Source organism: Homo sapiens, chromosome 19 (assembly GCF_000001405.40).
Source record: "Homo sapiens chromosome 19, GRCh38.p14 Primary Assembly".
NCBI lineage: Eukaryota > Metazoa > Chordata > Mammalia > Primates > Hominidae > Homo > Homo sapiens.
In genome coordinates, this window is record NC_000019.10 from 21155827 (window position 1) to 21177747 (window position 21921).

The following is a 21921-nucleotide window of genomic DNA, read 5'->3' on the forward strand; positions in this document are numbered from 1 at the left end:
ATATCCCAGAGCCCTGTCCTGGTATAAAATGAGTGTCTGCAAATGGGAGGCTCTTCTCTCCTGCACACAGGCTTTCACACTACCTATTGTCTTGGGATCCCAGGGCTCCTGCCAGGATTGAAGAGGATGAAAACTTCAAGGAAAGGAGCTCTGATGACAGACCCCCTTTTCACAAAGCTGCCACCACAGGATTCCCACCCACACCCAAATATGCCCACTAGACATTGATGTATCCACACCTCTCCCAGCACTAGGCACCACCCTCAGGAATTTCACTATAGCATTGTTGATTTTAGTGTTTCTTGACAAAAACCCACAAAAGTGTCTACAAGTCTCCTGGCATATCCCCACATGCAGACGCTGAATCTGCCACAGCAACCTGTTTTCCCCACCAAGCTAGGGTTCTGGGCCACCTGTTCATAATCTCATCTGCCTACAGGCACACAGAAATAAATCAGAGTCCAGCCCCACCTGGGCCACCATCTGTAGAACAAACAACTCCTTGCACCTACATTGCACTCTTCCCCACGCATGGATTTTTTTTTTCTTTTAACTTTTCTTTTTGGTTAAGGGGTCCATGTGCAGCTTTGTTATATAGGTAAAATTGTGTCATGGGAGTTTGGTGTAGATTGTTTTGTCACTGAGGTACTAAGCGTAAAACCGAACAGGTATTTTTTTCTGATCCTTTTTGTCCTTTCGTTCTGCATTCTCAACTAGGCCTCAGTGTCTGTCGTTCCCTTCTTTGTGTCCATGTGTTATTATTATTTAGCTCTTATAAATGATAGCATGCATTTGGTTTTGTTTCACTTTAGCTTTCTAAGGATAATGGTCTCCAGCATCATCTATGTTGCTGCAAATAACTTAATCTTGTTTTTTTTTTTTAATGGCCACATAATCTTCCATGATGTTTATGTACCGTACTTTGTTTTTTATTAAATCTTCTATTTTATTTAATTAATTTATTTGGAGACTGTGTTTCACTCTGTCACAAAGGCTGAAGTGCAGTGGTGCAATCTTGACTCACTTCAGCCTCAACCTTCCAGGCTCAAGGCACCCTCTTACTTCAGCCCCCAAAGTAGCTGGGACTACATCCATGCACCACCATGCCCAGCTAACTTCTTTTTCTATCTTTTGTAGAGATGAGTTTTGCCATGTTGCCCAGGGTGGTCTTGAATGCTTGAGCTAAGGCAATCCACCTGCCTCGGCCTCCCAAAGTGCTGAGATTACAAGTGTGAACCACCTCACCCAACCATACCATATTATTTTAATCTAGTCTACCATTAATAGGCAGTTAGGTTTGTTTTGTTTTATGTCTTTGTTTGTTTGTTTGAGATGGAGTCTTACTCTGTCACCCAGACTAGAGTGCAGTGGTACCGTCTCACCTCACTGCAACCTCTGCCTCCTGGGTTCAAGCAATTCTCCTGCTTCAGCCTCCCATGTAGCTGGGACTGCAGGCATGTGCCATCACGCCCGGCTAATTTTTGTATTTTTAGTAGAGACAGAGTTTTGCCATGGGATTATTGTATGCAGCCTATTATTGACTTTCTAATTACAGCCATTCTGATTGGTGTGAGGTGGTATCTCATTGTGGTCTTTTTTTGCTTGTTTTTTGCATTTCTCTAGTGATTAGTGGTGAGCATTTGTTGCACATGCTTGTTAGCCACGTTTGTCTTCTTTTGAAAAGCATCTGTTCATGTTTTTTGCCTACTTTTTTTTCTTTTTTTTTAGACAGAGTCTTGCTCTGTCCCAGGCTGGAGTGTAGTGGTGGGACCTTGGCTCACTGCAACCTCTGCCTCCTAGGTTCAAGCTATTCTCCTGCCTCAGCCTCCCGAGTAGCTGGGATTACAGGTGTGCGCCACCACGCCTGGCTAATTTTTTTGGATTTTTTTAGTAGAGACGGGGTTTCACCATGTTGGCCAGGTTTCAAACCCGACCCCATGATCCGCCCGCCTCGGCCTCCCAAAGTGCTGGGATTACAGGCGTGAGCCACCGCACCCGGCCATTTGTCTACTTTTTAATGAATTTTTTTTTTTTTTTTGCTCTGTATTCTGCTGCCTTGTTCTGCGAGTCTGTTTTTGTACCAATACCGTTCTGCTTTTGTTACCGTAGCCCTCTAGTGAGTGTGGTTTGAAGTGGGGTAATGTAATGCCTCCAGCTTTGTTCTTTTTGCTTAAAATTGCCTTGGCAATTCAGGCTCATTTTGGTTCCATATAAATTTTAAAATAGTTATTTTTTAGTTAACAGCGTTTTGGTAGTTTGATACAAATAGCATTAAATTGGTAAATGTCTTTGGGCAGTTTGGCCATTTTAATAATATTGATCTTTTCTATCTGTGAGCATAACATGTTTTTTTAATTTGTTTGTGTCATCTCTGACTTTTGTTGTTCTTGAGACAGAGTCTTGCTCTGTCACCCAGGCTGGAGTGCAATGGTGCGATCTCAGCTTACTGCAACCTCTGCCTCCCTGGTTCAAGCTATTCTCCTGCCTCAGCTTCCCAAGTAGCTGGGATTACAGTCACATGCCACCATGCCTGGCTAATTTTTTTTGTATTTTAATGGAGACAGGGTTTCACCATGTTGGTCAGGCTGGTCTCGAACTCCTGACCTCATGATCCGCCCACCTCGGCCTCCCAAAGTGCTGGGATACAGGTGTGAGCTACTGGGCCTGGCCATCTCTGACTTCTTTAAGCAGTATTTTGTCATTCTTGTTATAGAGATCTTTCACCTCCCTGGTTAGCTGTATTCCTAGATATTCCATTCTTTTTGTGGCAGTTGTGAATGGGATTATGTTTTTGATTTGGCTTTTGGCTTGGATGTTGTTGATGTAAACGGATGCCATTGATTTAGTACCCTGAAACTTTGCTGGAGTTGTTTATCAGTTTAAACAGCTTTTTGCTGAGACTGTAGGGTTTTGAAGATATAGAATCTTGTCATCTGGACATAAGGATAGTTTGACTTCCTCTCTTCTTTTTTGGATGTCTTTTATTTTAATCTTTTTCCTGATTGCTTTGGCCAGGACTTCCAATTCTGTGTTGAATAGGAGTTTTGAGGGAAGGCATTCTTGTCTTGTGCCAGTTTTCAAGGAGGAATGCATCCAGCTTGTGTCCATTCAGTATGTTGGCTGTAAGTTTGTCATAGATGACTCATTATTTTGAAGTATGTACCTTCAATGCCTAGTTTGTTGAGGGTTTTAAGCATGAAGGATGTTAAATTATATTGAAAGTGTTTTTAGCATCTATTGAGATAATCTTGTGGGTTTTGTCTTTAGTTCTGTTTATGTGATGAATAATATTCATTAATTGTTGTATGTTGAAAAAACCTTGCATACCAGAGATACAGCCTACTTGATCACACTGGATTAACTTGATGTTCTCCTGGATTTGGTTTGCCAGTATTTTGTTGAGAAAGTTTTCTTCAGTGTTCATCAAGGATATTGGACTGAAGTTTTCTATTTTTTGTTTTATCTCTGCCAGGTTTTGGTATCAGAATTCTATATAGAATTATGATATATATATATAGTATACAAAAAGAGTATACTATTCTTTTTGTTGTTGTTGTTGTTGTTGGAGGCGGAGTCTCACTCTGTTGCCAGGCTGGAGTGCAGTGGCGCGATCTTGGCTTACCACAACCTCCACCTCCCGAGCTCAAGTGATTCGCCTGCCTCAGCCTCACGAGTAGCTGGGACTACAGGCCTGGGCCACCACACCCAGGTAATTTTTGTATTTCTCGTAAAGACGGGTTTTCACCATGTTGGCCAGGATCGTCTTGATCTCTTGACCTCATGATCTGCCCACCTCAGCCTTTCAAAGTGCTGGGATTACAGGCATGAGCCACTGCACCTGGCTGATGCTATTCTTATATAATGAGTTGAAAAGGAGTCCCTTTTACTCAGTATTTTAAAATAATTTTGGTAGAATTGATACCAGCTCTTTGTACATCAGGTAGAATTCACCTGCAAATTTGTCTGGTCCTGTTCTTTTTTTGGTTATTAGGCTATTTATTACTAATTCAATTTTGGAACTTGTTGGCCTATTCAGGGATTCTGTTTTGTTGCTGTTGTTATTGTTCAGTCTTTGGAGGATGTATCTTTGCTCCAAGGTTGCAGTCCTAAACTTGGCCCAAATGAACTCTCTACTTATATTCATGTTGCCTCAGCCTTTTTTTTTTTTTTTTTAGGTAGACATATTACTTAGAGTATGCTAGAACAGCCTCTATGAGGAGATTTTTCCTTTGATTGTACTTTACTTGATGTAACACCCAAGGATGCAAGCCAGGTTGATCCCACCTAGAATCTGCACATAACATCTTGCTTCTGCCTGGGATTCACAAGACAGGGCCAGACTTTGGATTGAGAATATACAGAAAACCAATAGGAGGCATTTTCTGCATTGTGAGATGTCAACATAGACATCTGAAACCCCGCTTTGAGAATGTGGCTTTTTAAGCTTTTTAGATCTTGTTCAATGACCTGTTACAGTTATGTAAGAGGCTCCAGGTGTAAATAGAGTCTGATGACAGAATCTTTAAGTTTAAACAAGCATCTTAAGAGTGAGAGATCAAGGCCACAAAATATCCAGAGCCATGACAACCACAACTATACCTACGTGTAAAATGTCATGCTGGAGCAGAGTATTCTTGTCCTTCCTCTTACCCAAAAGTGAATGAATCAGGATAGGTGATCCAGGTTCTGGAGCTCCACCAGAGCAGTTCCATTTTCTATTTAGAATCAGCCTGAGTCTCTCCATCCTGGCTTATCAGTGGGCCCTCAGCCGTGGATCACTAAGAACCGTCTCACAATCACCTAGGCATCTTTGAGACATTTGAGGATGTCCAGGGCAGAACTGTGTCAGGCTGACAAGAGTGATTAATTCTGCTTCTCTCAGTATAAGAGAAAGAAGTAATCCTGTGTTTTTTACTCCCTTCATATAAGAGGTCACTTTAGTTGGTACCAAGATGAGAGTTTCTCCAGTTTCCTAGTACTTAGGTGAAAGACAAAGAGGAGGTCTTGTGACTCAAATAAACTAATTGCTTCCATTTCATATGGTCATTCAAAACATAGATGAACCAGGTGCGGTGGATCATGCCTGTAATCCCAGCACTTTGGGAGGCCAAGGTGGGTGGATCACGAGGTCAAAACATCAAGACTATCCTGGCCAACATGGTGAAACCCCATCTCTGCTAAAAATACAAAAATTAGCTGGGCTTGGTGGCACGTGCCTGTAATCCCAGCTACTCAGGAGGCTGAGGCAGGAGAATCTCTTGAACCTGGGAGGTGGAGGTTGCAGTGAGCTGAGATCATGCCACTGAACTCCAGCCTGGTGACAGAGCAAAGTTCCATCTCTAAATAAATAAATAAATAAATAAATAAAGCAGTCATGATCCCTACCATCCAGGAACTTTTAGTCTAGACTAGCAACTGGGTACATGGTTGAATTAAGTATTGTATGGTTAGTACAATGAATAGATGTGTACAAAAAAACTTGAGCTTTATTTGGGCCACTTTTTTTGTATTGTTGTGACTTCTGATATCATCTGAAGGGATATTTATGGACAGGAGAATTTTATTATTATTCGTGTTTCTTTTACCTTGCTAAGAATACATATATATCATCTGATAAAATTATCCTAGAAAACCTTGAGAGATTTGTTTAAGTTGCTTATTATTATATGTTATAACATTGAAAGGGCAGATTAAAGTTACATAAACTCTGGGATTTTAGTTTCTCTTAGGTAAACTTAGGAAAAACTGAACTGGAAATACCCCAGTGGCATAGAGAACAGAATTCTACAGAGGGTCCAGTGCCTAACCCAGGTCTGTTTTGTTTGTTTGTTTGTTTGTTTGTCTAAGATGGAGTTTTGCTCTTGTTGCGCAGGCTGGAGTGCAGTGGCGCAATCTAGGCTCACTACAACCTCCACCTCCCTGGTTCAAGTGATTCTCCTGCCTCATCCTCCCGAGTAGCTGGGATTACAGGCTTGCACCACCATGCCTGGCTAATTTTTGTATTTTTAGTAGAGAGAAGGTTTCTCCATGTTGGTAAGACTGATCTCGAACTCCCGACCTCAGGTGATTTTCCCACCTAGGCCTCCCAAAGTGTTGGGATTACAGGCGTGAGCCACCGCACCAAGCGTTCACCCCTTGTTTTTTGTTTTTTTGTTTTTTGCTTTTTTCAGTTGGAGTCTTGCTCTTGTTTCCCAGGCTGGAGTGTAGTGGTGCAACCTCGGCTCACTGCAACCTCTGTCTCCCAGGTTCAAGTAATTCTTGTGCCTCAGCCTCCCAAGTAACTGGGATTACAGGTGCCTGTCACCACATCCAGCTAATTGTGTGTGTGTGTGTGTGTGTGTGTGTGTGTGTGTGTGTGTTTTCTTGAAATGGAGTCTAGCTCTGTAGCTCAGGCTGGAATGCAGTGGCATGATCTTGGCACACTGCAACCTCCATCTATGGGAGTCAAGCGATTGTCCTGCTGCAGCCTCCTGAGTAGCTGGGATTACAGGCACCTGCCACCATGCCCATCTAATTTTTGTATATTTAGTAGAGACAGGGTTTCACCATGTTGGACAGGCTGGTTTTGAACTCCTGACCTCAGGTGCCACCTGCCTCACCCTCCTGAAGTGCTGCGATTACAGGCATGAGCCACTGTACCCGGCAATTTTTGTATCTTCAGTGGAGACAGGGTTTCACCATTTTGGCCAGGCTGGTCTTGAACTCCTGACCTCAGGCGACTTACCCACCTCAGCCTCCCAAAGTGCTGGGATTATAGGCATGACCACCACACCCGACCAGATTCACCCTTTTTGGAGCCCTTATTTAGGTCTGGCCCCACCCTGGAGTCTTGCATCACAAAGCTGATTTAAAAAGATGAGAGTTTTTGCTGGTGAATCCTGCTGCCTTTCTAGAGCTGGTGCTCAAAATTTCAGAAACCCAAAAGCAGGTAAATGAGAAAAATAAACTGTATATTTTGGGATCCTAATTTTTAAGTTTTGTGTTAAAACCAGTGCTTACAGAAATATTCCATTTAGCAACTTGTTTTCTATTCCTGCAGATCCAGTAGTTGCTCCACAAGTAACAAAAAAGTAAATATAAACACAATAAAAATTTCTCTAAACTACATTAAATTCTCTCATTCTGTATCCCTCCTATCTGTCTATATTTAGCTTTTATTCTATACATTTTATTTTTAAAAATGACAGAGAAACAGATGAAGAAATAAAAATGCTGAACCCTTTATCTAAATCCTGGGAATTATTGAACACTTAGAGTCAACTTCCAGGGTGTTATGAGGATTAAGTCACATAATGTGTTATTCCCCACATAGTGCTCTGTAACATACTCTTGAGCAGATAGTACCTGCTTAATAAACATTGCATTATTACATGTTTACATGTTGTTTTTCAAATGCAGAATTATTCTGAAATTGCTGCTTTCTGTTTCCTCTGTAAACTTTAAAGAGCCAGCAAAGAATACGAAACGTTTGGATGGAGATTGGTTGTCTCCATTTGTACCAGAAATATTTGTGTTGTGACAACAGAGCTGAGTGTAAGGGACTCTGTGCTGTGCCCGCTTTCTCTAACTACTGCTAATAATGAACCCAGGGGTAGCAACATCAGCATTGGCAGGGGACTTGTTTGAAATACCCATTCATGGACTTTTTCCAAACCTGCAGATTCACATTACATAGATTGGGACCAAAATTCCCAAGTAATGTTGGTTTTTTTTGAGACGGAGTCTCGCTCTGTCACCCAGGCTGAAGTGTAATGGCACGATCTCGTCTCACTGCAACCTCTGCCCTCTGGGTTTAAGCGATTCTCCTGCCTCAGCCTCCTGAGTAGCTGGGATTACAGGCATGCACCACCACGCCAGCTAATTTTTTATTTTTAGTAGAGATGAGGTTTCTCCCTGTTTGTCAGGCTGGTCTTGAACTCCAGACCTCAGGTGATCCGCCCCACTCTGTGTCCCAAAGTGCTGGGATTACAGGCGTGAGTCACTGCTCCTGATCCTATTACCAAGTAATTTTTAAGCTCATTAAAGCTTGAGAGGCAGTGCTTATCAGCCCACTTCTCTCATTAGGATTACACGGTGAAATCCTGACTCTACTAAAAATACAAAAATTAGCTGGGTGTGGTGGTGTGTGTCTGTAATCCCAGCTACTCAGGAGGCTGAGGCAGGAGAATCGCTTGAACCTGGGAGGCGGATGTTGCAGTGAGCTGAGATTGCACCATTACACTCGAGCCTGGTAAGAGCGTGAAACTCCATCTCAAAAAAAAAAAAAAAATTGCAGAAATCTCTTTACTTGTGCCCTTTCCACAGTTTCTATTTATTGTTCTGGGTGGAAGCATCCATGTTGTTTTAATGAAGGGCCTCATGTGACTCTAAGCTGAGGCCAGAATCAAATATGAGGGCTTCAAAATACATTCATGAGAGTGAAGTGCCACCTTTGTACTAAAGGGTGGTCACAGGGCCCGTTCAGTTTGGGTTTGGTAGGGACAGGGCAGTGTGGTGCATATTTCCATTACTGTAGCAGAATTTGCTGGTGTCTGTGGCAGGGGAGGGCACCTGTGGACAGGAAAAGAGGAACACTTTTAATATGGCAGATCATATTTTTATTTCCATGGAGCAGCTCATTTTTTCCTGAATCTCTTCTGTTATAAAGGAGAGAAATGCATGGACTTTTTGGTCTTGGTCCTTCTGTGTGTGGGCGTGACACTAGTAGGTAAGCAGGTGGTGCTGATGCTTTTAAGGGAATTTTCTCAAGATGCAGGTGTTACTTGTCCAGAGAATTTTATCTGAAAAGGATTTCCAGAGAAGGAGGAGAAAGAGGAATAATGGCTTCTTTTCAGCTAAACATGTCTCAGATCAAGAGCTGTGTCCACTCTGCCTCCTGGAGTGCCATGTGTTTAGTACTTGGAAACCTTCTCTGCTTGTGTTTTTCCTCCCCAGTGAGTTTGTTTCAGGTACTTTAAAAAATTCTTGTAATAGTCAAGGGTCTCTAAAAAATATTTGTTTCTGGCTGGGCGCGGTGGCTCATGCCTTTAATCCCAGGATTTTGGGAGGCCGAGGCAGGTGGATCACTTGAGGTTGGGCGTTCAAGACCAGCCTGACCAAGATGGATAAACCCCGTCTCTACTAAAAATACAAAATTAGACAGGCATGGTAGCACATGCCTGTCATCCTAGCTACTAGGAGGCTGAGGCAGGAGAATCACTTGAACCTGGGAGACGGAGGTTGTGGTGAGCCGAGATCACACCATTGCACTTCACCCTGGGCAACTCAAAAAAAAAAAAAAAAATGTTTTCCTATGCACCAGACCCTTCTCTACATCATGGCTTCTTATATGCAATGCAGAATTCCTACCATGAATTTATGATCTGCCATATTAAAAGTGTTCCTTTTGTGGCTGTTGAACATGGGAAGATGTGGATACTCAAGATTCCTACTGGGGAAAAGCTGGGGTCCTTAGTAAAGATGGAGAACATATAATGTTGTGGTTTCATCTAAACCCAGGAAGTTGTGAAAAAATTATTAAGAGATACCTGCTCTCTAGAGTGCTAAAGAAAGACTACTTAAAATCATTATTAAAATTATGGAATGCGGGAGATATCTTGACCTTTGCATAAAACTGATTTTTTAATGGTTAAATTCAGTCTATAATTGACTTTTTGAGGGGCAATATCTCAGCAGTGATGCTGTGTTCTTCTGTGTGCATCAGCACATCATAGAAATTTGTTCTAGTGTAGTTGATGTTAATAATTTACTTGGTTAAAGAGCTCTGTGACTTTTTTTCACTATAGAGTTAATTATTTTTATCTTTATTATTAAGTATCTTTATACAGCTAATGTGCATAAACCATCACAATTAATCTGGTGCCTGCCCTTTTTTCTTAGGTTTTTTTGTTTTTGTTTTTTTTTGCATGTGTCTGTCTTTGGAAAATGAAGACACTTGACTTTGTTTACAAGCCAGAAACATTGGGAAAAACACAGTCTCTTTCACTTGCCTAATGTTTGACAAAATAGTCTTCCTGGGATAAAAACATTGGCATTACTAGTGACCTTTTTAGAATTTTAAAAACTCAGACTTTATTCCAGATCTTCTGAAAAATATAAAAAAATCTTCATGGCAGGATCTCCAGTTTATCGTGCACATTTAAATTTGAGAGGTACCTTCTGACTCAACATGTTTTTCTTTGTCTGAAAAATATACACAACTCATTATGATGTAAGTATAGCACTCAATAATGTATATGTTTGTGTTTGTGTCCTTAATTATATACTTTATCATCCAGAGAAGTATCATATATGCACTGGTGTTGTGGATCTTAGGCCATTCTCTGCCCTCAGAGTAGGAGAATACATTAGAAAATATTTCTGTGTTAAAAATTATTGGATAATTTCAGTTATTCTTATAAGTCAGAATCAGTTCTCTTTACTCTCTCAATTCACCTTAATTCAAATAATAAATTCTGCCCATGGCCACTTGGTAAATATATGTGTGTCTCTGTGCTTGTGTTTTTCAGGAGACATTGACATTTAGGGATGTGGCCATAGAATTCTCTCTGGAGGAGTGGGAATGCCTGAACCCTGCTCAGCAGAATTTATATATGAATGTGATGTTAGAAAACTACAAAAACCTGGTCTTCTTGGGTGAGAATAACTTTCATACACAATTCTTAATATGCCCTAAATGTTTCATGTCTCTTTTTTTGTAGAATTTTTTTGATAATTTATGCTTTGTATAAATGAGTTTCTAATCCCAGTTTTCAAGAAAATCTTGATGATTTGTCCGTGTGGAAAAGAATTTCTTCAACGTGTTTCATCTTGATCTGAACTTTCCACATTCCTGAGCTGATGTGTATCCTTCACTCTAGATTAGTGATAATTCCAGAAATTTAGTGGCATAAAATATCACTGCCCATATCTTAAAATCTATTTGCCATCACCAATTTTTGATTCAGGTAGTAAAATTAAAAACCTACAAATTTAAAATATTTTCTAAATAGTTAGAGATGTCTCTCTTTAATCAGTATTTTCAGATTAATTTTATTTTATTTATTTATTTTTTTGAGATGGAATCTCACCCTGTCACCCAGGCCGGAGTGCAATGGTGCGATCTTGGCTCACTGCAACCTCCACCCTGGGTTCAAGCGATTCTCCTGCCTCAGCCTCCCAAGTAGCTGGGATTACAGGTGCACACCTCCACACCCAGCAAATTTTTGTATTAGTAGATACAGTGTTTCACCACGTTGGCCAGGCTGGTCTCAAACTCCTGACCTCAGGAGATCTGCCCACCTCACCCTTCCAAAGTGCTGGGATTACAGGCGTGAGCCACTGCGCCTGGCTAAAACACTTTTTTTTTTTTTTGAGATGGAAGTTTGCTCTTGTTGCCTAGGCTGGAGTGCAATGCACTATCTTGGCTCACTGCCACCTCCGCCTCCCGGGTCCAAGCAATTCTCCTCCTTAGCCTCTGGAGTTGCTGGGACTACAGGCACCTGCCACCATGCCCAGCTAATTTTGTATTTTTAGTAGAGATGGAGTTTCACCATGTTGGACAGGTTGGTCTCAAACTCCTGACCTCAGGTGATCTGTCCGTCTCGGCCTCCCAAAGTGCTGAGATAACAGGTGTGAGCAACTGCGCCCAGCCTTTGGATTAATTTTCTAAAATATTCTATCACATCCTTTTTACTGAGCACAGTACTAGGTTAGTAATTAGAGAATATAGGCAAGATTCATGTTATTTATTTTTAATAAAGCAGGTGTTGCTGTCTCTAAGCAAGACCCAGTCACCTGTCTGGAGCAAGAAAAAGAGCCCTGGAATATGAAGAGACATGAGATGGTGGATGAACCCCCAGGTAGGTGAGAGTGAAAAAAAACAGATGACACAGATGAGAGGTCCAAAGCTTAAAAAAAAAAAATGTGCCAGTCCTTACAATGTGTTTTGGGAAGCTGTGTTATAAAGCATGTAGTTTCTGGGAGGCCTGAATATTTTCTTAAAATTTTTTCTTACATAGGGACATCTTCTGTCTTATGCTTTTAAATTCTCTAAGAATTCTACTTTTCCTTGGGGGATCTTCCTTCAAGTCTACAAGAGAGCCAAAGCATATTGTCATAGCATATAAAAGACTGTCATGGCATATAATCTGACTGCTTTTTTATTGTTTTGGGGGACGCACAAATATCTGTATAATTTTGAAAAATTCTTTGTTAAATTATTTTTTAGTTCTCTTTTTGAATCCTGTCTGAAATATGTGAGAGTAGTGATTTCTGTTCCATTAGGGGTTTCTTGTTAATTTTTTTGCATATTTCATCCTGTTTGTATTACTATAGTCTTAAAATATAGTTTGAAATTATAAATTATGATGTCCCTCTGCTTTGTTCTTTTTTCTCAAGAATGCTTTGGCTATTTGAAATTTATTACAATTTCTTGTAAATTTTAGAATTGTATTTTCTATTGTGAAAAAAATACCACTGGAATTATCATGGGGAGTTTATTAAATGTATAGATTACTCTAGATAATATGGCATTTTAACAATATTCTTTCAATCCAAGACATGAATTTTTTTTTTTTTTGAGACAGAATCTCACTCTGTCATCAGGCTGGAGTGCAGTGGCACAATCTTGGCTCACTGCAACCTCCACCTCCTGTGTTCAAGCGATTCTCCTGCTTCAGCCTTCTGAGTAGCTGGGACTACAGGCATGTGCCACCACACATAGCTAATTTTTTGTATTTTTAATAGAGTTGGGGTTTCACCGTGCTGTTCAGACTGGTCTCAAACTCCTGACCTTGTGATCTGCCCACCTCGGCCTCCCAAAGTGCTGGGATTATGGGTGTAAGCCACTGTGCCTGGCCAACATGAAATATTTTAAAATTTATTTTTGTCTTCTCTAATTTTTTTCATTGATATATATTTCATTGTAAAGATTTTTTACCTTCTTCGTTATATTTGTTCTCAGAAATTTATTTTAATGCTATTATTAATAAGACTGTTTTCTTCCTCTATTGTATCAGATAGTTTTAAGTGTATGGAACCATAACTTTATGTTAATTTTATATTTTGTTAAGTTACTGACTGTATTTATTAGTTTAGACAAATTTTTCTTTTTTTTCTTTTTTGAGACACAGTCTCACTGTGTTGCCTAGGCTGGAGTGCAATGGCATAATCTCAGCTCACTGCAACCTCTGCATCCTAGGTTCAAGCGATTCTCCTGCCTCAGCCTCCTAAGTAGTTGGGATTACAGGCACTCGGCACCAGCCCAGCTAAATTTTTTTTTGCATTTTTAGTAAGACGGAATTTCACTCTGTTGGCCAGGCTGGTCTTGAACTCCTGACCTTGTGATTTGCCCCCCTCAGCCTCCCAAAATGCTGGGATTACAGGTGTGAACCACTGCGCCTGGCTGTTTAGACAAATTTTAATGTACTGTTTATGGTTTTTTTATATATAAGATCATATGATCCACAAACAGCAACTTTTTACTTATTTCTCTTTAATTCCAATGGCTTTTAAAAAATGTTCTTGACTAATTCTTGTGCCACATACTTTCAGTGCTACCTTAAAATAGAAGCATTGACAATGGGCGCAATATAGTTTTATATTGGTATCTGTGAATTTGAAGGAGCAAACAACTCCTTAGCTTTTATAAACAGGTTTCAGGAGGTAAAGATCTTTTTCTGTTGTGTCCCTAGGGTGATGGAATGCCCTCTGGGTTTGTAGTGAAGAGGGGTTGTAGCTTTGTCACAAGGCTGCTGGGTCTGCACTAGAGTCCACCTTTAGATGGCTTGTCACAAGGGCTTGGGTAATTGTAATTCCCATTTTATTTTTGGACAGATTGTATATATTCTTTAAGACTTTGATCTGTAGGGCAGATACCAGGGCAGATTTCTGCAGTTGGCTCCTTATATAATGGCCCTATCAGGATGTGAATGGGTTTGCCTTTCACTGAATACCAGAGAGGATTTCTTCAGGTCACTGTGTGGGTTTCTGTTTAGGAAAAACTGATCATGATCTGCGGCTCAGAGAGCTGGAACTGAGTCAATAAACTGCTTCAGGGACCACAGTAAAAACCAAGGTCTGTAAACCTGTCTGCATGGCTGCAAATAGGTGTCTTCCTCCAGGTCTCTGGAAGGGCAGGACCTCTCTTAGACTGTAACTGGGAGGAGTTTGGGATGGTTACAGAGTTAATTTCAGAATTCTCTGTTGGACCAAGTTGGGTGGACCATTTCTTGATCTGTAGCCAAAACCAAGGGTCCTGTAATTTCCCACACGAATAAGTGCCTGTCCTCTGAAAAAACACTCCTCAATCTTGGGCTTTAGCAGAGTTTCACAACTCCCTCCCTGCATCTCAAAGCTCTCTTAAAGGCACTTACTTTGGAGATGGGATCTTGTTTATCATCTGGTCTGGAAATCCAGGCCTGCAGCAATTCTCCAACCTCAATGTACCATGTAGCTGCCATTAAAGATGTGAGCCATGATGGCTGGCTGTCTCATGAAGGCATTTTTTGTCAGGGATGACTGAATAAATTTTTTTTTGTGGCGAGGATAATCAAATAGAGCACCTTCTATTTTTTTATGTCACTGATGTTACTCTTTCTATACATTTTTACTTTCGATTTTCCATTTCAAACTTCTCTGTCATTTTAGATTCAGACATTTAGGACAATATGCTAGAATTTACATGTTATGCCTGAAGTAAATTAGATAATTGGTAGGCACTCCATATTACTAAGATGGTTACTTATAAATTTAAGTTCGCTGCAGGTAAAAAGGAATTATAGGATTTTCACCCACTTTCTTCAGCATATATCTAAATGATAACATAATTTCTTTCTTTTCTTTTCTTTTCTTTTTTTTTTCTTTTCTTTTCTTTTCTTTCTTTATGAGATGGAGTGTCAATCTGTCACCCAGGCTGGAGTGCAGTGGCATGATCTCAGCTCACTGCAACCTGCACCTCCCAGGTTATAGCTATTCTGCTGCCTCAGCCTCCTGAATAGCTGGGACTACAGGCGTGTGCCACCACATATAGTTACTTTTTTGTATTTTTAGTAGAGTCGGGGTTTCACCATATTGGCCAGGCTGGTCTCGAACTCCTGACCTTGTGATCCACCTGCCTCGGCCTCCCAGATTGCTGGGATTACAGGCGTGAGCCATTGTGCCCGGCCCAACATAATTTATTTCTAAATATTTGTTTTACATATCAGAGGCTGTAACCCTACTTTGCAAAATATACGTTTAAATTTAGCAATGTAATGCTATTCTTTGCTTCTAAAGTTGAATTACAGTGGTTTCAATTTTGTGTAAGAATAGCATATATTTAAAACGTAAAATTTATCATATTTTTTACATGCTTATTTAAAAAGTTTCTTATTAGACTATTCTAATTATACTGCATATTCTGTGAAATTTTACTGCCATACAGTGCATGCCAATGATTCAAAATACCTGCCTTCCCTGAGTACACAGTCAACTATTGTAGTTATCTAGACAATTCTTTTTTAATGGTACTTTAATGTTGCATACCAGATTTTATGAGTAAACATGTCTCTTATTACGCAGTTTCTTATTAGCGTTTTTTCAGTATAGGTTTCTTAACATCAGCTTGTTGTGTTTTTTAGTTTTTCTTATATAATTTTAGCCAATTTGCAATTCTGTTTGTATACTTTAAGTCAATGTGAGGTGTAATTAAGAGATAAGTCAGCCATACGTCTATCACGATCAGATTATATGTGTGTGTGTTTATCTATAAATATGACCCCAATATTGGTTATGACTTATCTCATATATATTCTTTCTTAACTGATTTTCAGTGGCTGTTTTATCTTGTCTAAGTGAGTAGTCATGAAAATATTTTCATTATGTCTTATTTTCACCATGTTTCTAATGATGAATATATATATATATATTTTTTTTTTTTTTTTTTTTTTTTTTTAGACAGAGTCTCGCCTTTTCGCCCAGGCTGGTGTGCAGTGGCACAATCTCGGCTCACGGCAACCTCCACCTCCCGGGTTCAAGTGATTCTCCTGCCTCAGCCTCCTGAGTTGCTGGGACTACAGGCATCTGCCACCATGCCCGGCTAATTTTTTGTATTTTTAGTAGAGATGGGATTTCACCGTGTTAGCCAGGATGGTCTCAATCTCCTGACCTCGTGATCCACCTGCCTTGGCCTCCCAAAGTTCTGGGATTACAGGCATGAGCCACCGCACCTGGCCTGAATATATATTTTCTTTGTGTGAGAAAAACATTTTTGTGATTTGAAGGATATTTTGAGAAGATTTATAATTCTGTATTTTTTTCTGTTTTTCCTTTAGAAAAATTAATTGTTGTAAAAACATAACAGGCCAGTCACGGTGGCTCATGCCTATAATCCCAGCACTTTGGGAGGCAGAGGCAGGCAGATCACTTAGGGTCAGGAGCTCCAGACCAGCCTGGCCAATATGGTGAAACCCTGTCTCTACTAAAAATACAAAATTAGCCAGACATGGTGGTGTATGTGTGTAATTTGAGCTATACAGGAGACTGAGGCAGGAGAGTCACTTAAACCCAGGAGACAGAGGTTGCAGTGAGCCGAGATCATGCCACCACACTCCAGCCTGGGTGAGAGAGCGAGATTCCATCTCAAAAAAAAAAAAAAAGAAAGAAAAAGAAACAATAAAAACACATAACATAAAATTTAGCATCTTAAATCTATTTAAGTGCACATTTCAGGGCCAGACATGGTGGTGGCTCACGTTTGTAATCCCTGGATTTTGGGAAGCCAACACAGCAGTATCATTTGAGCCCCAAAGTTTGAGACTAGCCTGGGCAACATATGGAGATTTCCTCTCTATAAAAATTTTTAAAAATATCTAGGCATAGTGTTATGCACCTGTGGACCCCGCTATATGGGAGATTTAGGGAGGATTACTTGAGCCTAGGAGTTTGAGGCTGAAGTGAGACATAATTGTGCCGCTGCACTTTAGCTTGGGTGACAAAGTGGACCCTGTCTTAAAAAGAAGCTGTACATTTCAGGGATGTTAAATATATTCACATTGTTCTGCAAAAGACTTCTAGAAATTTCACATGTTGTGAAACTAAAACCCAATATCCATTTAAGTGACAAGATGCCATTTTACCCTCTCCCCAGTGCTTGACAAACACCCTTCCACTTTCTGTTTTTATGAGTGTGACTACTTAAGCTATCTCATATAAGTAGAATTATATAGTATTCATCATTTTGTTTCTGGCTTATTTCAAGTGACATAATATTTTCAAAGTTTATCTTAAAATGTGACAAGATTTCTTTGATAATATTTGATTTAATTATGAAAACATTTGATCTTTGATTTCTGTGATATTTCATTGAATATATATGTTTCATTTTTGATGTGTTTATAAATTAAGAGACACCTGGGTTGCTTCTGCCTTTTGGCTTTTGTGAGTAAGGGTACAATAAACATGGATGTTCAAATATGTCTTCTAGGTCCTGTGTTGGATAGTTTGGATATAGCTTCGTAAGAGTGGGATTGCTGTATTTGATAATTCCATTGTTAATTATTTAAGAAGCATGTATAACATTTTTAAATAATGGCTGCTTCCTTCTTTTCTACCAACAATCAGCATAGGCTTTATTTTCATTGTATCATCAACAGATTTTGTGTTTTAAAAAACATGTAGTATATTTTTAAACATATAGTATAGTGGCCATTGTAATGAGATTTTATTTCTTTATTATTTTTTATTTTTTGAGATGGAGTCTTGCTGTTGTCATCCAGGCCTGCTGTTGTCACCCAGGCAATTGGCACGATGGCTCACTGCAACCTCTGCCTCCTGGGTTCCATAAATTCTCCTGCCTCAGCCTCCTGAGTAGCTGAGGTTACAGGTGCCCGCCACCATGCCAGGCTAATTTTTATATTTTTAGTAGAGATGGGGCTTTCACAGTGTTGGCCAGGCTGGTCTTGAACTCCTGACCTCAGATGATCCGTCCACCTCGACCTGCCAAGGTGCTGGGATTACATGCGTGAGCCACCACGCCTGGCCTCATTTTTATTTTTATGAGTTTCTCTACAAATCATTAATTTTGCTTTTCTTTTCAAATGGTTTTTCCCATTTGAATATCTTTTTTGATGAAAATTTAGTTCAATTATTTTTTCTTTCTTTGGTTTTTTTTCTTTTTTTTTTGGGAGTCTCACTCTCTCACCCAGGCTGGAGTGCAATGGTGCAATCTCGACGCACTGCAACCTCTGCCTCCTGGGTTCAAGCGATTCTGCTGCCTCAGCCTCCTGAGTAGCTGGGATTACAGGCGCCAAAATTACTCTTTGTCTTCCACCATGATTGTAAGTTTCCTGAGACCCTCACCGGAAGCAGATGCTGTTACATCCTTCTTGTACAGTCTGCTGAACTGTGAGCCAAATAAACCTTCTTTCTTTGTAAGTTACACACTCAGGTATTCCTCTATATGCAAAATAGTTAATACAGTCTATAATGCCTGTTTTCTGTTTTCTTACTGATATTTTATCTGAATTTTCTATTATTGCAAATGATGTCTTGATCGCCACAATTATGTTGCTATGTATTTCTTCCTTCACCTTTGTCAACGTTTGCTTTATATATTTTGGAGCCCTTATGTCATATGTATGTATACATATAAATAGATATGATAGTTACAGATTCCTGGTAAATTGACTCATTTGACCGTTATATAATATCGTGTTTGTCCTATGCTGTTACATACAAGCATATGTCCTATGCTGTTATATACAAGCATATTATATACAATATAATTATTACCACCTCACCCAATTGTGGTTACTATTTGCATGGAATATAGATTTTTTCAGTTCTGTTACTTTCAACCTATTTGACTCAATGCTAAAATGCCTCTCTTATAGACAGCAAATTGTATACTTTTTAACTTAAGCTACTAAGGCATCTTATTTCTTTTTCTTTTTATAAATGTATGTATGTATGTATTTATGTATGTATTTTTATTTTTATTTTTTTGAGATGGCATCTCGCTCTGTCACCCAGGCTGGAGAGCAATGGCATCGATCTCTGCTCACTGCAACCTCCACCTCCTAGATTCAAGCGATATTCCTTCCTCAGCCTCCCAAGTAGCTGGGAGTACAGGTGTAGTGGCTAATTTTTGTATTTTTAGTAGAGACGGGGTTTCACCATGTTGGTCAGGCTGGTCCCAATCTGACCTCGTGATCTGCCCGCCTTGGCCTCCCAAAGTGCTGGGATTACAGGCATGAGCCGCTGCACCTGGCCAATGTATTTATTTTTGAGATAAAGTCTCACTCTGTCATCCAGGCTGGTTTGCAGTGGCATGATCACGACTCACTGCAGCCTCAACCTCCCAAACTCAGATGATCTCATTTCAGTTTCTTGAGTAACTGGGTTGCAAATGTTTGCCATCCCAAACCGAGATAGTTTTTTGTACTTTTTTCTGTAGAGACAGTTTTTTGCCCTGTTGTCTAGGTTGGTCTCAAACTCCTGAGTTAAAGTGATCAGCTCCCTTGGCCTCCCAAAGTTCTGAGATTACATTATTTTTATTAAGTAATTTAACTAATTTTTAAAATGACTGCTTAAAGATATAAAGTTACTATTACCAGTTTTATTGTTGTTCTTTTTTTAAGTTTAATTTAATTTAATTTTATGTTCCAGGATACATGTGCAGGATGTGCAGGTTTGTTACATAAGTAAATGTGTGCTGTGGTGGTTTGCTGCACCTATTAACCTCTCACCTCGGTGATAAGCCCTGCATGCATTAGCTATTTATCCTGATTCTCTCCCTCCCCGTGACAGACCCCAGTGTGTGTTGTTTCCCTCCATATGTCCATGTGTTCTTATTGTTCAACTCCCACTTAATAAGTGAGAACATATGGTGTTTGGTTTTCTGTTCTTGTATTAGTTTGCTGAAAATAATGGCTTCCAGCTCCATCTCTGTCTTTGCAAAGTACATAATCTTGTTCCTTTTTATGGCTGCATATTAGTCTATGGTGCATATGTACCACATTTTCTTTATCCAGTCTGTCATAGATGGGCATTTGGGTTGATGCCATGTCTTTGCTATTGTGAATGTTGCTGCAATGAAGATACACATCCATGTATCTTCATAATAGAATGATTTATATTCCTTTGGGTATATACCCAGTAATGGGATTGTTGGGTCCAATAGTATATCTGGTTCTAGGTCTTTGAGGAATCGCCATACTGGCTTTCACAATGGTTGAACTAATTTACATTCCCACCAAAAGCGTAACAGTATTTCTATTTCTCCATAGCCTCCCCACCATCTGTTATTTCTTGATTTTTTAATAATCACCTTTCTGACTGGGGTGAGATGGTACCTCATTGTGGTTTTGATTTCCATTTCTTTAATGATCACTGATGTTGAGCTCCACATAAATGTCTTCTTTTGAGAAGTGTTTCTTCTTGTTCTTTGCTCACTTTTTTTTTTTTTTTTTTTGAGACTGAGTTTTGCTCTTGTTGCCCAGGCTGGAATGCAATGGTGCAAACTCAGCTCACTGCCACCTCCGCCTCCCAAGATCAAGCGATTCTTCTGCCTCAGCCTCCTGAGTAGCTGGCATTACAGGCATGTGCCACCATGCCTGGCTAATTTTTTGTATTTTTAGTAGAGGTGGGGTTTCTCCATTTTGGTCAGGGCTGGTCTCAAACTCCCAGTCTCAGGTGATCCTCCCACCTCGGCCTCCCAAAGTGCTGGGATTATAGCCGTGAGCCACTGTGCCCGGCCTTTGTTCACTTTTTAATGGGGTTGTGTAATTCTTGTAAATTTGTTTAAATTCTTTGTAGACTCTGGATATTAACCTTAGTCAGATGGATAGATTGCAAAAATGTTCTCCCATTCTGTAGATCGTCTGTTCACTCTGATGATAATTTATTTTATTTTATTTATTTATTTTTTTTCAGACAGAGTCCTGCTCTGTCACCCAGGCTGGAGTGCAGTGGCACGGTCTTGGCTCACTGCAACCTCCACTTCCCGGGTTCAAGCAATTCTCTGCCTCAGCTTCCAGAGTAGCTGGGATTACAGGCGCCTGCCACCATGCCCGGCTAATTTTTGTATTTTTAGTAGAGATGGGGTTTCACCATCTTAGCCAGGCTGGTCTTGAACTCCTGACCCCATCCTCATCTACCCCCTTTGGCCTCCCAAAGCACTGTGGTTACAGGCGTGAGCCACCACACCTGGTGATAATTACTTTTGCTGTGCAGTAGCTCTTTAGTTTAATTAGATCCCATTTGTCAATGTTTGCTTTTCTTGCAATTGCTTTTGACATTTTCATCATGAAATCTTTGCCCATGCCTATGTCCTGAGTAGTATTGCCTAGATTTTCTTCAGGGGTTCTTGTAGTTTTGGGTTTCACATTTAAGTCTTTAATTCATCTTGAGTTAATTTTTTATAGGCATAAGAAAGAGGTCCAATTTCAATTTTCTGCATATGGCTAGCCAGTTCTCCCAGCACCATTTATTAAAAGGGAATCCTTTTCCATTGCTTGTTTTTGTCAGGGTTTTCAAAGATCAAATGGTTGTAGATATGCAATCTTATTTCTCAGTTCTCTATTCTATTCCATTGGTCTATATGTATGTTTTTATAACAGTACCAGGCAGCTTTGGTTACTACAGCTTTGTAGTATAGTTTGAAGTTGGATATCATGATGCCTCCAGCTTTGTGTTTTTTGCCTAGAATTCTCTTGACTAGGCCAGGCACAGTGGCTCACGCCTGTAATCTCAGCATTTTGGGAGGCTGAGGCGGGTGGATCACTTGAGGTCAGGAGTTTGAGAAAAGCCTGGCTAACATAGTGAAACCCTGTCTCTACTAAAAATACAAAAAATTAGCCTGGCATGGTGGCACATTCCTGTAATCCTAGCTACTTGGGAGGCTGAGGCAGGAGAATCGCTTGAACCTGGGAGGCGGAGGTTGCAATGAGCTGAGATCATGCC

General features: G+C 40.0%; 1 protein-coding gene across 14 annotated transcripts in view; it reads left to right on the forward strand.

The window, feature by feature from the left end:
- ZNF431 (zinc finger protein 431) overlaps window positions 1-21921 on the forward strand; it is a 54014-nt gene that overhangs the window by 13787 nt on the left and 18306 nt on the right. For 8 of the 14 annotated variants that reach the window (NR_138053.2, NR_138052.2, XR_007066665.1 and 5 more), the window contains 2 exons: window positions 10509-10635; window positions 11742-11840. Coding sequence is in view for 3 of the 14 variants with exons in the window: in NM_001319124.2 (NP_001306053.1) it covers window positions 10509-10635; window positions 11742-11840 (226 nt within the window). In the remaining 11 variants the exon portion in view is untranslated. Of the gene's footprint in view, window positions 1-10508; window positions 10636-11741; window positions 11841-13976; window positions 14057-19626; window positions 19649-21921 lie in introns of all 14 variants that reach the window. The other 6 variants (XR_007066670.1, XR_001753620.2, XR_007066669.1 and 3 more) reach the window with 3 other exon arrangements.